This window comes from Homo sapiens, chromosome 12 (genome assembly GCF_000001405.40).
Source record: "Homo sapiens chromosome 12, GRCh38.p14 Primary Assembly".
NCBI lineage: Eukaryota > Metazoa > Chordata > Mammalia > Primates > Hominidae > Homo > Homo sapiens.
In genome coordinates, this window is record NC_000012.12 from 40,392,735 (window position 1) to 40,410,204 (window position 17,470).

Genomic DNA, 17,470 nt, shown 5'->3' on the forward strand with positions numbered 1-17,470 from the left:
TAAATTTGTTTTTGTCCTAAAACATTCTTTTTATGTTGTTTTCATTTTAATATATTTTCTACTTATTTACATATCTTATTGTAAAGTAAAAACCTATATCATTAGAGTCTTACATATCCTTTTGAATAATAAAGCTATTACTGTACAGTTATACATCTTAGTGCATCTATACCTATACTTATAACCTGTGTTTCTTTAAGAAAATGCCTAATAACGTATTGATAAGTAAAGAGTTCTTTGTTTCAAAGTAGGTTAATGTTTAAAATATATTTTGTTGTTAAGGGAAAGACAATTACAATATTTAATCACAATATTTGAGTTTCTTGAGGTATTAAGACTTCTGCAGTGATTAATAGGGGATAGATAAATGTGTGTATCCTCAGCATATTTAGTTTTTAATCCTGGGGCTTTTAGTTCCTGGTTTTGCTGTTTGCACAGGGTGGCAAGAAGACATGTTCTGGGTTTGGTATGAGCTGGATTTGGTCCAAGATAGAAGATGTCATAGGAGTAAGGCACTAAACAGACTGAAAGTGGATTTCATCTTTGGCAGCCTATGACATTTACCTTTGCTCTCTTGTCACCAAGTTTACCACACCTAGCCCATGATGGCAGACAGTGGGATGAGTGGGTATAAAAACCAAAGTTACAAGGGCCCTTGTAGACTTGTCTCTCCAGAATGACTATCCTCCATTTCTAGGTCCCAAATCACAACCATGAAGTTGATCTTATGGTACTTGGTTGTGGCACTTTGGTGCTTCTTCAAAGGTAAGAAACTAATTTAAAGAATTCTTTCAAATGTGATGGACCCCAAGTATATATTTGTCTGAATGTTTAGTGTTCTGTAGATCCAACATTTTTCTTCCTAGCAATCTTTCTTACACTACACTTTAAAGTAGGATAAGAAAACTGGATTTTTCATCTTACTGTGTATTACCTCAGCTTTAACAATCGTGTCTTAAGAGTGTGGATACAAGCATACCTTGGAGATATCTCGGGTTTGCTTCTAGCTTACCACAATAAAGTGAATATTGCAATAAAGCACACACAGTTTTTTGCTTCCCAACACTTATAAAAGTTATGTTTACCCTATACTGTAGACTAAGTATACAATAGCATTATGTATAAAAACAATATATATACCTGAATTAAAAATACTTTATTGCTAAAAAATGCTATGATCATATGAGTTTTCAGTGAGTTGTAATCTTTTTGCTGGTTTGATGTTGACTGCTGCTGAGTACCCAATGTGGTGGCTGCTGAAGGTGGTGGGGGTGCTGTGGCAATTTCTCAAAATAAGAAAGCTATGGCATTTGCCACATTGATAGACTCTTCATTTCATGAACGATTTCTTTGTAGCATGCAATGCTGCTTGATAGCATTTTACCCACAGTAGAACTTCTTTCAAAGTTGGAGTCAGTTTTCTTAAATCCTGCTACCGCTTTAGCATCTATCTTTGTCTACTCTTCTAAATCCTTTGTTGTCATTTCAACAATGTTCACAGCATCTTCACCAGAAGTAGATTTCAATTGAAGAAATCACTTTCTTTGCTCATTCATAAGGGGCAACTCGTCATCTGTTCAAGTTTTCTCATGAGATTGCAGCAATTCGGTCACATCTTCAGGCTCCACTTCTAATTCTAGTTCTCTTGCTCTCTCTACCACATCGACAGTTACTTCTTCTACTGAAGTCTTGAACTTCTACAAGTCAGCTTCTTCCAAATTATTTTAATGTTGATATTTTGGCTTCCTCTCATGAATCATGAATGTGCATCTAGAAAGGTGAATCCTTTCCAGAGGATTTTCAGTTTACTTTGACTATATTCATCAGGGGCATCATTATTTACGGCAACTATAACCTTATGAAATGTATTTATTTCTTCAATAAGAAGACATGAAAGTCAAAATTACTCCTTTACCTGTTGGCTGCAGAATGGATGTTGTGTTAGCTGCCTGAAAACAACATTAATCTCCAGGTACATCTCCATCAGAGCTCTTGAACTCTTGTCAATGAGCAGTAATATTTTGAAAGGAGTCTTTTATACTGAGCAGTAGCTCTCAGCAACGGGCTTAAAATATTCAGTAAGCCCTGTTGTACACAGATGTGCTGTCATGCAGGCTGAGTTATTCAATATTTAGAGCATGGGCAGAGTAGATTTAGCATAATTCTTAAGGGACCTAGGACTTTCAGAATGGTCAATTACCAGTGGTTTTAACCTCAAGTCAGAAGCTGCATTAGACCCTAAAAAGAGAATCAGCCTGTCCTTTGAAGCTTGGAAACCAGGCATTGACTTCTCCTCTCTAGCTATTAAAGTCCTAGATGTCATCTTCTTCCAATCAAAAGCTGTTTTGTTTACAATGAAAATCTATTGTTCAATGCAGCCATCTTCATGAATTATCTTAGCTAGATCTTCTGTTCTGAACTTGCTGCAGCTTCTCCATCAGCCCTTGCTACTTCATTTTGCACTTTCATAGTATGGAGACAACTTGTTTCCTTAAATTTAATGAGCTAACCTCCGCCAACTTAAAACTTCTCTTCTGTAGCTCCCTTACCTCTCTCAGCCTTCAGACAACTGAAGAGAGTTAAAGCCTTTTTCTGGATTACAGTTTGGCTTAAGGGAATATTGTGGCTGGCTTGATCTTTCCAGGCCATTCAAACTTTCTCCATATCAGAAATAAGGCTGTTTGGCTTTCTTATCATTCATGTGTTCGCTGGAGTAGCACTTTTAATTTCCTTCAAGAACTTTTCTTTTGCATTCACAAATTGGCTATGTGTTCAGCACAAAAGACTGAGCTTTCAGCCTATCTTGGCTTTCCACATGCCTTCCTCACTAAGCTTAATCATTTCGAACTTTTTGATATTAAATGCAAGATCTGTCACTCTTCACTTGAACACTTAGAGGCCATTGTAGGGTTATTAATTAGCCTAATTTCAATATTATTGTGTCTCAGGGAAAAGGGAGGCCCAAAGAGAGGGAGAGAGATGGGGGCAATGACCTGTTGGTAGAAAGGTCAGAACATAAGCATATATTAAGCTTGCCATCTTATTGAGTGTGGGTGATGCCTCAAAACAATTACAAGAGTGATATCAAAAATCACTGATCACAGATCACCATAACAGGTATAATAATAATAATAAATTTGAAATATTGTGAGAATTATGAAAATGTGATACAAAGACCTGAAGTGAGCTCATGCTATTGGAGAAATGGTTTCAATAGAGTTGGTAGTCACAGGGTTGCCACAAATCTTCAATCTGTAAAACACACAATATATGTAAACCTCGGTAAAGTAAAGCACAATAAAATGAAGAGTGCTTTTAAATATATGTATACACATTTAGATATATTTGTTTTTAGCAACTGCCTAGAACTATTACTAAGCAGGTCACACAAGATACATACAGTGTTGTTTGTTACTCATTTTCATCACAGTTTATGCTTTGATGGTTCTATCTTGAATGCATATCCATATTAAGACTAAAGACGCAAACAGGTAATCATGTTTTTCACAAATCAAGAAATTATCACCAGTTAAAAAACTGGGTCATCATCAAAAACAACACTTTAACATCTTTCCTGGATATTTTAGAAAGTTCATTAATTAATTTCAGAAATTAATTTAAAGGTAAGATGTCATTTATTTTGAGAAAATTAAACACTAAGCAAAATGAAAAAATGTCTAGAAACAAACATTGTTCTGTTCCTGAAAATGGCAGAAAAGATAACATTATCCAAATGTAAGGGAAAAAGTCTGCAAAAAGCAGGTTTTTTCCATATCTAAACTTAAAAGTCTATTCTCTAAATTTGAAAGTAGAACACAAAACATATATCTTATTTTTCTCTGAGATGTCAGAATATAGAGAACTGCAATTATTTGTTATAATTAAGAGAAAATATTTCTGTTTAATCCAACTATCTGGGAAATTGTCTGATGAACCATTAGAAAATGATTACTTTGTGTAATAGTGATTTTCATAATCTTACATAGTGCTTTGCTATATTCTTTTTTCCTGTTGCATAAATGTGTTTCTTGTTTCCTAAGTAATGGAGCAAAGAGTACATTATTTTCAAAGTATTTATTAAATGTCATATCACCATAAAAATAATTTTAAAATTACTTGTTAAAGTATATTAAATTTACTGAAGAATTGGCTCATGTTTCTAAGGTAAATTCCTATATATCCATCCATTGTAGATCTGGAAAATGATTGTGACTATTTCAATAGGCTTTCCATGGATAGGCGACTTATCAACAAAATTCAGATTTTATGTATTTATTCATGATGTCATCGTGGGAACTAAGAAACATACTTGGAAAACTGCTCTTTGCAGAAATCCTAGGTGCCTTATTTGAAATAAATTTTTGTTGCTATTAGTCAGTGTGATTTACGTTTCAAATACAGACACTCATCATTTTCAGTAGGTTATAGGATGATAAATCTTGGGGACTGGAAGTTGCTGAAAGCAAATATTTAGGCAGTATCCATATAATCAATTGGAAGAAACATTTGCATTGTTTAATCAAGCATAACTATACAGAAAGAAAAAAATTGAAAAACAATTTTTCTGGTTAAGTAGAAAAAAACAGTTATAAGAGACATAGTTCAGGCATAAATATGCATAATCTACTTTTATTTTTTTCTCAGGCTATCCTATATTACCATTAAAGTCCATATTATTGATTCTGTTCTTTTATTCTTGTTTCTTTTTTGTCTAATTCACTGCTTATGAACACATTACCCAGAAAATGTTTAGGGGAAATAAAAGCATGTAAAATTTAGATCAGAAAATATACTTTAGATCAACAGCTGTAGTCATGTGAAGAAGATATAAAATATTGGCTAATATTAATTTGTGAGCTTAATTTATTTCGTCATACATATTTTCAAGTCTTAGTTGGCACTGAAAATTTGATATCAAGTATGCTGGTAGGTAAATGTGTTACATAGATCATTTCCTATTAAATAGAAAAGCTGTGAAATAATAAATTACTATTGAAGTATTACACTTATCAGATAAAAACAGTGGATTGCTTATATTGAATTTTAGGGAAGAACGAAAACAAAAAGAACATCTTTTTCATTGTCTTAAAATATGTTATAGAGAATTATAAAATAACCTGTTTTTTTTCTCACTTTTAAAATAGATGTGGAAGCCTTACTTTACCGACAAAAATCAGGTCAGTATCTTTCAGGAATTAATCTTTACTTTGAAACATTATGCTGCATTGTGAGGCTGCTTTTGGAATCATAAAATTAGTGTGTTTCTTACACACTTGGTTTTGTGAATGAGCTCCCATGATGCCTCATTTACCCCATGTGATCTGAACTCCTTAATGACAGGATTTTGGTCTATGCTGTTCACCCTATATTCATAATGCCAAGAGCAGTGGCTGCAATGGAGTAGGTCCTCAGTACATCTTTGTTTTAAATGAATAAAATAAATTGGGATGATCAATATAAGATTTATTTTGCCTACAAGAATTTTCTACATGAAAGTAACCAAATGCTTTGCAAGGTAAACTTTCTGAAATAAACCAAGGATACCCTAACTTCTTACCAAAGAAGACATGGGACTTCTGAAAATAGCTTAATCTTTTTTTAAGGACATGAAAATGCATGTCCATTATCATATTATATCTATACAATGATGCCCTTGGAATGTACTGACTTGAGTAAGACAGTTTGTCCCTATTCCAGAGATTGTTTCTGAGTTTCTTTGTCTGCTTTTGATTTGCCTTTCTGTCCTCTGTCTTCCATTCAACAGCTAGCTCTATATTCTCATGGGATCATCATGTCTACTTTTAGCAGTCAGTTCCAATTCTTACCTATTGTTTTCAGTCCACTGGGCTGAGAACACCATCGATCCAAGCTCATTAGCCTTGTACTGTGGTAAGGATGTGCACTCTGAGTGAGGTCTCAAGAGATTTCTCCTGATGGGTACAGTGAATAAGCAAGAATTCATACATGGGCTCAGTGATATCTCTATTTGCTGCAAGAGGATTTGGGGACAACTTCTTGACTGCAATCTACATTTCAGATAGTCAGAATTTTCCAGGTGTTTAACTTACATAAAGAATATTACTGTGCAGTTTTCTTTTGAAGCATTTATATTAAGTGTCTCCAATCCACATCTGTAAACCATTTCTTCTTAGCCTTTGGCTAAATCCGTGTGTGTGCATTTGTTTGTGAAGCTACGTAAGATTTGGTTTTGACAACAATTTATGAGAACATATGGGAAATGCTTTATCTTTTAAATGTGCTATTTACTGTTTGTCTTAATTTACTCCTTCCTCTCTGGGATAGGTTTACTGACCGTAAGTCTTGGATTTTCCTGAATTGGGTTTTAGTTCAAATTTCTAAAAGTTTATCTTAGTATCAGACCATGTGCCTTGACTATTTATTTGAATAATGCGTTCAGTTTGGGTTTAGAAAATTTAAAGGTTACAGAGCATAGATAAGCATTAAAAACAAAGCACAATCCTGTAAGTCTCCAAATAAAAATGTTACTGAAAACATCTTTGAGGTTTCTTTAATATGTAATCAACATGCAACTTTATGCAAAATTCTATTGCCATTGTTAAGTACTTTATTTCACAGAATTATTGAGAAAATTCTTTTGGAAACCAATGACTTGATGTATTTAATAAAAATATTTTTGTATTTGTAAATCTCAATAAGTGTGTGTGTATGTAAATTATACTTTTTGTTGTAAAGTACCCATTCTTATTGTGAGTTTTTGACTCAGCTGTACTTACAATAGCTTGACAAGGTTGCACATTTACATGCCATTTATTTAAGTATGGAGAAAATTTACCTTGATTTACAATAATGACATTTAAATAATTTGTAAGTTGTGTATACATACATTTTAGTATTCAGCTGGAAACTAGAAATTGTAGATATTTGACTCAGATTAAGTAATTGTACTCTATTCAGTACCTTTGTCACGTGAAAATATCTTTTAACTAAAGCTTCTGCGTTTTACCAAAAGAATAATAGTCTTTTGAAGCACCTTTTCAGGCATCTAAATATTATTGAGTGCTGCATTCTAATTTATGCATTTAGACTGGGCGTGAGAGTGACTGGAAAATTAGCCCAGACTTTCCCCTTTCTGGAGAAGCAGAAGTGTACCATGGGCAATGGCTAATTACCATATTTATGCCTGAGTATTAAATTCAATGAGTATATCTCTTTGGGAGCACCTCCCAAAGACAAGAAATGGCTGTAATCAAGATTCACTTTCTAATGGCAAATCTGTCATTTAGAGACACTACTAATGACAGCAATTCTCCCTTTCTTTCTTCAGATGGTAAAATAGCAGCAAGCAGATCAGGTAAATTACTTTGTTCTCTTTTCTTATACTGTTTATACTCAAAAGCAATAGGGTGGTAGTGCTTTGCTTTGGACATAGGGCATATCTCCCCTGGAAAAATCCTTCAAATGCTTAAAATATAATCTCTCTTATTATTACAGACATGCTTTAATGTGTTTTTGTATAATCTGGGCCAGACATTTTAATCTTTGATCAATACTTACACAGGTGGTGAAATTTAAAATGGAAAATTATTCTGGTTATTTGTTTAACCTAAAATATCTTAAACCTGTGATAGAAATGTGTATGTAAATTTAAGGCTTTACTTTCCTATATTTTCATTGGCAGGACATGCTGTTGTTTTTCTCTTCCAAGATTAATTCCTTAGTGATCTGCTTCAAAATCAATCTAGTTTCAACAGTCTTACTAGATCCCATCAGGTGACTGAATATCACCATTATCCTTTACTGTTTGTTTCTCTACCCACTGAAATGAAAAAATGAACCATAGCAAATCAACAAGACTGCTTTTATGAAGTTTTTCTGAAATCCAACGTTAATATTATTGCTAATATCAACTTAGACTCAATTTTATTCTGGTCTATTGTACACAGCAATCAAAATAGCCCAATATACGTTCCTGTGCTTTTCTTATAGGGCATTTTACATCCCTACCTCATTCTACAACATAAATAAAATGTAATTTTAAACAGCCTTCTTTGAGGGAAAACATAAACTGAGATTAGGCAGCAGCTCAGTTGTGTCAGGAAGACAGCAAGATTATTTTTCACAGCCATGGACAGGACTCATTAAGTTCCATCACAGTGATATAGTAAGAGTTTCTCTACAAAATCTGGTTGTTACTTTTGTAAATGGGGGCATACGAGTTTTCAGCATTCCTTTAGAAGCCCCCATTCACAAATGAGAAGGAAGTAAGGGTACGCTTGGGGTTCTATAGTTCTCTGAAAGTTCTTTAAAATTCTGAGGAATTGAATTTGTTCCTATGTGTCTCAGGGAACCTTCCAGGTCTGGGTATTATTTAGGAGGGACATGAGGTTCTCCAAAGCTAGAGCTGCCTTAAGTGAATAAAAATGGCAAGCAAGAAAGCCCCCATCAACCACTCAACCAGTCAACATAAAACTGGACAAACTGGCCAGGCATGGTGGCTCATGCTTGTAATCCCAGCACTTTGGGAGGCTGAGGCAGGCAGATCACGAGGTCAAGAGATCAAGACCATCCTGGCCAACATGGTGAAAGCCCATCTCTTCCAAAGAAGAGAAAAATTAGCCGGGAGTGGTGGCGGGGGCCTGTAGTCTCAGTTACTTGGGAGGGTGAGGCAGGAGAATCGCTTGAACCCGGGAGGCAGAGGTTGCAGTGAGCCGAGATTGCGCCACTACACTCCAGCCTGGCAACAGAGCAAGACTCCATCTCAAAAAACAAACAAACAAACAAACAAACAAAACTGGACAAACTTCAGGGCATTGTTATCCCTCAAACTCTTCATTCTTCAATGAGATCAAGATTCCTACATTTGAGATAAGGATTGTAGGCCAATACAGGACTTCGTGTTTTTTGATATCCACTGATTTTTACTGATGTCAGAAACATAATTCATTTGTTCCCGTTACTTTAAAAATCTTCCCACCCGCACAGTTGAATCATGTTCACCTCTCTTATCCAGCCATTTCTCTCCATGAGGTAGGGATGAAGAAGCAGAATTATGTCTATTTTTCTTTTCTACTCCATTCTGTGGTTTAAAATTAAAGTGTAAGCTAAACCTTCCGAAATTTTGTGCAAAATGTATGCAAAATCTAGTATGACTTTATTATGAAAAATATAAACATTCTATTTATCCTTAAGCTATAAAGTAGATAAACATTTTATTTATCTTTGTGCATTGTATAAGCAACCTGTCTTTAAGCAAGATGAAGGCAGTGTACATCGCACTTAAGAGCAAAGGATTTCTTGGCAGATTTTTCTAACCGTGTGATCTTAGACAAATTAGTCAGTCTCTTCTCAATATCTATTTTCTCATCTACAAATGAAGTAGTTTAATGGCACCTATCCCATAGAATTGAGGCTATTAAAGCAGTAAGGCATACAAAGTACTGTCATACAGATGTTGTACATTTGAAAAACATACTGACCATTACTCCTAATAACTTCAGCAGCAAATATTTCTGAGCAAGTTTTATATAATAAAAACAAAAGGGATAAAGTAAAGTTAATAAAGTTAGTGAAGACGAATGTGACACACTGAATATCTAGGATGCCAGGTCTACTCATGTCAACATTAAAATGAAGAAATACTGCTCTAATAAAATGAAGACTCTAATATATCTCTGGGGTTGAACTTGGGAGAGGTATGATGAGTATGGTGAACAAACACATCATGAATTAAATAAGTGATATAAAATGCATCTAAATGAGTTTGACGCAGTAAGTTTGCTGAGACAAGTCATATGTATTAAAGGGCAGGGTTTATCTCAGTTGAATGCTGTGTTTAAGACACTGGACTAGGTGCACTCATCTCACTTAATACAGTCATTTAATTAATACTTCTATTATGAAGCAGACATGATCTTATCCTTTTTTATGATGTACTCCCCATTTAATAGATAAGAAAACTTTGTTTTAGAAATGTTAAATTGTTTATCCAAGGACAGGCCAAGAACACAGAACACAGCCAGGGGCAAAAGTACAAATGCAAGTGTGTAAATAATAAAAAAGTTACAAATAAAAGGAACAAAGTAGCAAATAAAATGGTTTCTTTCTCCTACTTTGACAAAAATACATTCATGGCAAGCTGGAATGACATTTCCTATGCAGAATTTTTAGATTCATTGGAAATCAATGCAAGAACAGTGTTGCCTGTGCCCTATCCAAGAAGTAGCCCTGCTCCATCTATCTCTGGCTTAGTCACACCGGGAGGGACAGCCCAGCTTTCCTATCTCAGTCCACCCCTTTCTGCAAACTGACCACCCTCTGTTCATTCCTCACACCTAGGGCTTCAGTCTTTGCAATGTGGTCTCACCTGGGGCAGAAGATCTCAGGAAAGATGCCCGTGCACGTCCAAGTAGCAGGCTTGGAGCTGCAGCCTGGGGGACTTAGAATATTGTCCAGAAATGGGGAAGGGCATGCACAGGCTCTGAGTAGACAAAAGCTCTTCACCCTCACCCTGTATTCTGTGTTCTCTGAGGAAGGCCATGACCCAGGAAGGCCAGCATGAAACCAACATAGATCAGAGCAGTAACCTCTCTTGCCTAGGTCTAAGAGAGGTAGTGGCCAAGACCACACTGATTGCAAGAAGGGGAGCCCAGATGGGTTTGCTGAAAAGTGCATACTTTTCACACAGCTAAATACTTCTTTTCTTCCTTCTGCTTTGTCATCAAACTAAGATATTTATATATTAAAGTGCAGTTCTGAAACTACATGGCATCGAAGAAAGACAATGAGAGAGAGGGTAAAAGAGGAAAGGAAGAACAGTATGTGGAAAACACGGGTGGATAGAGGGAAAGAGGAGACAACGAGAGGAAACACTGCATGTGGAGAAAGGTAGTATAGTCATTGGAAGGTTACCTAATATAGGTAATAATATAAATCGACTATACATGATTTAAGCACTTGTATTCCTACAATAAAAAGTTTTATTATAGAATAGACTTTAAAGCAGAATGTGATGCACATACAGGTTAAGATTGCCAAAACAGAAAGACATAGCCAAGCAGATGTAATCTATCACATACATGTTCTCAAGATTAACAACTAGTTCTCAAGTGAACTTCATAGCACCATTAGCCATATAGTTCAATCTAAATTTACAGGGTAGTTGGGGTGGCCACCTGTGTCTGCTGATTGTCTTTAAAAGAAAAAAAATAAATTTCTTGTATATTATGACTGGAGGTAGGTTTGCAATTTGTAACCAGGCACCAGCTGAAGTTAGGCTCCTACCTCCCAGGAACCTAGGAGATGGGGAAGTTATCTTCCTCTGTGATGACATGTCAAAGTGATGGTGCCAGGCCCTTGGGGAAACATTCTTGGGGTGCTTGTCTAGTCTTTAAAAATATTTTTATTGCATTTCAGAGAGGTAGAGAAATAAATCACAAGTTTTCTTTTTCTTTTCTTTTCTTTTTATTTTTCTTTTTTTTGAGATGGAGTCTTGTTCTGTCACCAGGTTGGAGTGCAGTGGTGCAATCTTGGCTCACTGCAACCTCCGTCTCCTGGGTTCAAATGATTCTCTTGCCTCAGCCTCCCGAGTAGCTGGGATTACAGGCATGTGCCACCACACCCAGCTAATTTTTGTATTTTTAGTAGAGACAGGGTTTCACCATGTTGGCCAGGCTGGTCATGAACTCCTGACCTCGTGATCTGCCCCCCTCAGCATCCCAAAGTGCTGGGATTACAGGCATGAGCCACCATGCCCGGGTGAAATCGCAAGTTTTCTAAAGTAAATAATCTAAGCAAAAGTGTGTAGGGAGAGAAGTCTCTTCTCCTATTTTGAGTATGGAGAATTAAACTACTTATTTTTACTTGCATTTGCTCTTACGTATTCTTCAAGTTTTACTCACAAATAATGTGCTTCATTCTCTTGTCTATTCACTGTTCAAAATGTATGTCTTCCACAACTTTACAGGAATGTCATCATTATTATGACATTATTAATTCTAAAGTATTTCAATTTTATCGTAAAGATTTAAAAAAATGCCTTGATGGAAAGCACATATGCATCATGTAAGACAGTATTTCTTCTCTTAAAAGTGATCTTGTTGGTGAATGTATTTACTAAATAAATATGAATTGAGTATCCTGTATAGTTCAGGCACTCCTCTTGTCACCTGGGATACTTCAGTGAATTAAACAGGCAAAGAAACATTGGGTTTATGCAGCTTAAAACCTAGAAGGATACAGTCAATAAACAAAAAACATTATAAGCAGTAAACATGTTATATTACAAGGTGATAAAATCTGTGGGATAAAATAGAGTAATATTAAATATAATGGTATTTGGGAGTATAAAGGTGGGGATGAAGTTGCAGTTTTAACTTGTCAGAGTGTGCCTCACTGAGATGAAATTTAAACTGAGACTTGAAGGAGGCTAACTCTACAATTAATTTATGAGTAAATGGTTACATCTTTGCAGGAATACAGAAAAGAGAGTCAGATATGTTATCTTAATTTTGTCAGTTATAAGGAACAGTAGCCAAGGACAGTGTGGATTCAACATAGCAGAATATTTTGCTGGGTGTCTACGTTCATTTGCCTTGCTATCCATAAGGAAATATCTGAGGCTGGGTAATTTATGAAGAAAGGGGGTTATTCACCTCCTGTATTTGAAGGCTGTATAAGAAGCATGGCACCAGCCTTTACTTCTGGTGAGGGTCTCTGGGTGCTTCCGCTCACGGCAACGGCCAAGGGCAGCTAGCCTTTGCCGAGATCACACCGTGAGAGAGGAAAAAAAAGAGAGGGACGAGGAGGAATGACAGCTCTGTGGGAAGTAACAGAGCGATAGCTCACTCATTACCAGGAGGACAACCCAAGCTATTCCTGAGGGGTTTGCCCACATGACCCAAAGAATTCCCAACAGGCCCTACCTCCATCACAGGGATCAAATTTCAACATGGGTTGTGGGGAGACAAACTCCTAAACAATAGCAGTGGGAAGAGGTGGGATGCTGGAACTTGGGACTTATGAATGGGGAAGAAAGCAGATTGGGGAGTTTCTGCTCTGTCCAGGAGAAGAGTCTCTCTAGCACACATCGATGATTGAATTTCCACAGCTTGATTCTCCTCTCTTTCTTAAGGTCTTAGAACCATGACAAAAAGACATGGATAGGTGGTATATGCTGTTCAAGTGCTGCCAGAATAATAAGACTTGTATAAAATAAAAAAGTGGCTTTTGATAGTGTCATAATCAGACCACTTTTATAGTCTATGCTAACAATGCTGTTTTCAAATAAAATCTTCTGTTATTTGCTGTAGGTGGCTTCTCTTATGGTAGTTCATCCTCTGGTGACTTGGACAGAAAAAAGCCACTCTTTAGCTTGGAATTTGGTTCTCCAGGAGAGACTGAAGACAAGTCCAGACAACGTCAGGATGCTGGGAGTCCAAAGTCAGAAGACACCCCAGCAGGTACTGTTACAGAAAATACACTTACATAGCAAGCATGGTTTTTTTTTGGATAATATGATAACCTTTGTTTTATTGAAGATGTGGCCTTAATAGAAATGTGAAGACCCTATAGGCACTAATGCTAGTTCCAAAGAGAATGCTAAATTCTGTCTTTAGAGAATTCTGGCAAAGAGGTTTACAATAATTATTGCCCTGGTAATATTTATTTTGTATGCTATCTTTATATGTAGTATCTTTATTGTTATTATAATATATTTCATTGTATAAATTAATAATTTAAAGTTCTTCCTGGACCCAAATATAGTGTAAGATCTCTCTATTCACATTTCTGTAATCTAACCACCATTCATTTCCTACATTAGGATTCTCTCTTTAAATTACACCCTTAATTTGCTAAACAATATTATAAAGCAGAGTTTCTAAAAAGTTTATGGCCTGCAATTTTTTGGGGAGGAAAAATTTTAAATGTCTTTAGGTGAGGTATTTCATCTTTTGCTGTATAAAATTTTAAATATCTTTAGGTGAGGTGTTTCATCTCTTTTTGTATTAGTTTTATTCTCATGCTGCTATGAAGAGATACCTGAGACTGGGTAATTTATAAAGAAAAGAGGTTTAATTGACTCACAGTTCCACATGGCTGAGGAGGCCTCAGAAAATTTACAAGCATGGCAGAAGGGGAAATAAACACATGCTTCTTCAAATGGTAGCAGGAGAGAGAAGAATGAGAGAAGAATGAGTGAAGGGAGAAGCCTCTTATAAAACCATCAGATCTTGAGAACTTACTTATTATCACAAGAATAGCATGGGGGAAACTGCACCCATGATTCAATTACCTCCCACTAGGTCCCTCCCACCACATGTGGGGATTATGGGAACTACAATTCTAGATAAGGTTTGGGTGGCCACAGAGCCAAACCATATCACTTGTTTAACACATTTCTTCCCCCTGCCAATTCAAATTTTTTCTGTATTTTCCTGGTCTCTGAAATCTGTATGGTTTGCACCTCTACAAAAAAGAGAAAGAAGGAAGTCCAGTGAAATCAATAATTTCAATATCTCATATGAAAATTTAATATTGGAGTTCATGTAATGAAAAGGCAGTAACCGTTTTGGGTGTAGGAGGTGTGGTTATAATATCTTTAGGCAGGACATAAAATTTTATATCTTTCCATGAGGTTGATATTATTTTATCCACATTCATTATGTAGTCTTCATTTAATAGTAAAATAAATTTTGTTTAAGGGAACTTTGTTTTAGAAGTGTTAATTTGTTTAACCAAGGACAGGCCAAGAGCACAGTCAGGGTCAAGAGTATAAATGCAGATATATAGACAATTAAAGGTTACAAATAAAATAACAAAATGGTACATAAAATATGTTTTTTTTTTCCTTCCTTGACAACAATATATTTGTGACAATCCGGAAGGCAGGTTCCAATGTAGAATTTTCATGTTTACTGGAATTCAATGTGAGAATAAGGTTGGCTGTGCCCTAGGCAAGTTCTCTATAGCCTCGCTCTTTCTATTTTCTGCTTAGTCCCATACTGGGAGGGATGCCCCAGCTTTGCTATCTTAGTCCATCTTCTTCCACACACTCACCATCCCCTGTCCATCCTTCAGATCTAGGGTTTCAATCAGTGTAATGTGGTCTCACCTGGAGGAGAAAGTCTTGGGAAAGATGCCCATGCAGGCCCAGATCCCGGGTTTGGCTATAGCCCTGGGGACTTAGAACATGGTCCAGAAATGGGGTAGGGGATCACACAGGCTCTAGGTAGGCATGCCTTCTTCACCCTCAGCCTGCAGCCTCTGCTCTCTGGAGAGCATCATGACCCAAGGAAGGCCAGAGTGAGACTTGCGTAGATCAGATTAGGAACTTCCAAAATGTATGGATTAGATGATTAAGTCCCAGTGGTATATGTTGTTTCAAGTGCTGCTAGGATAATGGGATTTATACAAAATAAAATGTGGCTTTTCATAATGTCATAATCAGATGACATTTATATTCTGTGCTAATAATGCTGTTTTCAAATAACATCTTCTGTCATTTGCTGTAGGTGGCTTTTTTAACAGTAGTTCATCCTCCGGTGACTCAGACAGGACAAAGCCATTCTTTAGCTTAGGACTTGGTGCTCCAGGAAAGGCTGAAGACAAGTCCGGAGACAGTCAGGATGCTGGAGGTTCAAAGTCAGAAGACACCCCACCAGGTACCGTTCCAGAAAAACATATGTACCTAGCAAGCAAGTGCTTTTTGTTTTCATTTTGGATAATCTGATAACCTACGTTTTATTGAAGACAAAGCCTGCATAGAAATAGTGGAAACCCTAAAGATGCTATTTCCAGGGCCAGTGAGAGTGATAAATTCTGTCTTTAGAGAATTGTGGCAAAAAAGTTTACATTAAATTAATTATTGTCCTGATAATATTTATTTTTAATGTTATCTTTATATTTAGTATCTTTATTGTTATGACATATTTCAGTGTGTAAATTAATAATTTAAAATGCTTCCTGGACCCAAATGTACTACAGAATCTCTCCATTCACATTTTTATAATCTAACCACCATTCATTTTCTACACTAGGATTCTCTCTTACACACTCAGTTTACTAAATAGTAGCATAAAGCTGAGTTTCTAAACAGTGTGTAGACTCCATTTTTTTTTTTTTAGGAAAAATTTTAAATGTCTTTAGGTGAGACATTTAATCTCGTTTGACATATCTTTCCCTGCTGGCCTATTTAAACTTTCAATGTACTTGCCTAGTCTCTGAAATCTTTAGAGTTTATACCTCTACATGGGAAAGAAAGAGGTTCAGTGAAATAAATAACTCCAATATTTTATATGAAAATTTAATATCTGAGTCCATGTAATAAAAAGGCAGAAATAGCTTTGGGTATAGAGATGTGGTTGTAATATCTTTAGGCAGAACATAAAATTTTATCTCTTTTCATGAGTTTGGTAATATTTTATCCTCATACATTACGTAGTGCCCATTTAATAGTGAAATAAACTTTGTTTAAGGAAACTTTGTTTTAAAAATGTTAATTTGGTTAGCTGAGGACAGGCCAAGGGCCCAGTCATGGTCAAGAGTATAAATGCAGGTATATACATAATTAAAAGTTACCAATAAAGGAACATAATAGGACATAAAATGTGTTGCTTTTTCTACCTTGACAAAAGTACACTTGTGACAACCTGGAAGGCAGGATCCAATGCAGAATTTTTAGGTTTATTGGAATTCAATGCAAGATCCGTGAGGACTGTGTCCTGGCTAAAGTCTCCACAGTCATGCTCCTTCTGTCTCTGGCTTATTCCCGTACTGGGAGGGACATCCCAGGTTTTCTATCTCAGTCCATCTCCTTCTGCACACTGACCACCCCTTCTCCATCCCTCAGACCTAGGGGATGGTATTTGCAATGTGGTCTCACCTTGGAAAAGAAGGTCTTAGGAAACATGCCCGTGCATGCCCATGTAGCAGACTAGGGACTGCAGCCCTGGGGCCCTAGAATGTGATCCAGAAAGGGAGACTGGGATAGCGCAGGCTCTGGGTAGACATAATCCCTTCACTCTTGGCCTGTATTCTGTGCTCTCTGAGGAGTGGCATGACCCCAGGAAGGCCAGAGGAAGATGTGGGTAGACCAGAACAAGAATCCCTGTTGCCTGAGTGGAAGAGAGCTACTATCCAAGGCTACCAATTGCAAATGGAGGAACCCAGATGCAGAGTTTATACTTTTGCTCTGACTGAATACTGCTTTGCTTCCTTCTGCTTTGCCACCAAACTAAAATATTTATATATTAAGATGCAGCTCTGAAACTACATCACATTGAAAAAGACAATAAGAAAGATGGTAAAAGAGAAAAAGAAGAGTGTGTAGTGAAGAATGGTAGATAGAGGGAAAGAGGAGAGAAAGAAGGGAAATACTGTATATAGGAAGAGTAGTACAGGTAATAGTGGTTGAAGGGTTAGGTAATAAAACAATAGTATATATTGGCTGTTCATAATTTAAACATTGCTTTAGTCCTAAAACAAACACCTA

At 36.3% G+C, this 17,470-nt stretch overlaps 1 protein-coding gene and 1 long non-coding RNA gene across 6 annotated transcripts in view; one reads left to right on the top strand and one right to left on the bottom strand.

The window, feature by feature from the left end:
* LOC105369736 (uncharacterized) overlaps positions 1 to 17,470 on the bottom strand; it is an 89,145-nt gene that overhangs the window by 37,983 nt on the left and 33,692 nt on the right. For 3 of the 5 annotated variants that reach the window (XR_944868.3, XR_944869.3, XR_944867.1), the window contains exons 4-5: positions 5,826 to 5,930; positions 3,178 to 3,252 (exon numbers count right to left, since the gene is read on the bottom strand). This is a non-coding gene — a long non-coding RNA (uncharacterized LOC105369736). Of the gene's footprint in view, positions 1 to 3,120; positions 3,253 to 5,825; positions 5,931 to 17,470 lie in introns of those variants that run through there. The other 2 variants (XR_944866.1, XR_007063562.1) reach the window with 2 other exon arrangements.
* Positions 660 to 17,470, top strand: part of MUC19 (mucin 19, oligomeric (gene/pseudogene)) — a gene marked incomplete in the record, with an annotated part of 177,364 nt that continues 160,553 nt past the window's right edge. The window contains 5 exon segments of the mRNA NM_173600.2: positions 660 to 765; positions 5,145 to 5,177; positions 7,307 to 7,333; positions 13,290 to 13,439; positions 15,492 to 15,641. Coding sequence (NP_775871.2) covers positions 714 to 765; positions 5,145 to 5,177; positions 7,307 to 7,333; positions 13,290 to 13,439; positions 15,492 to 15,641 — 412 coding nt within the window.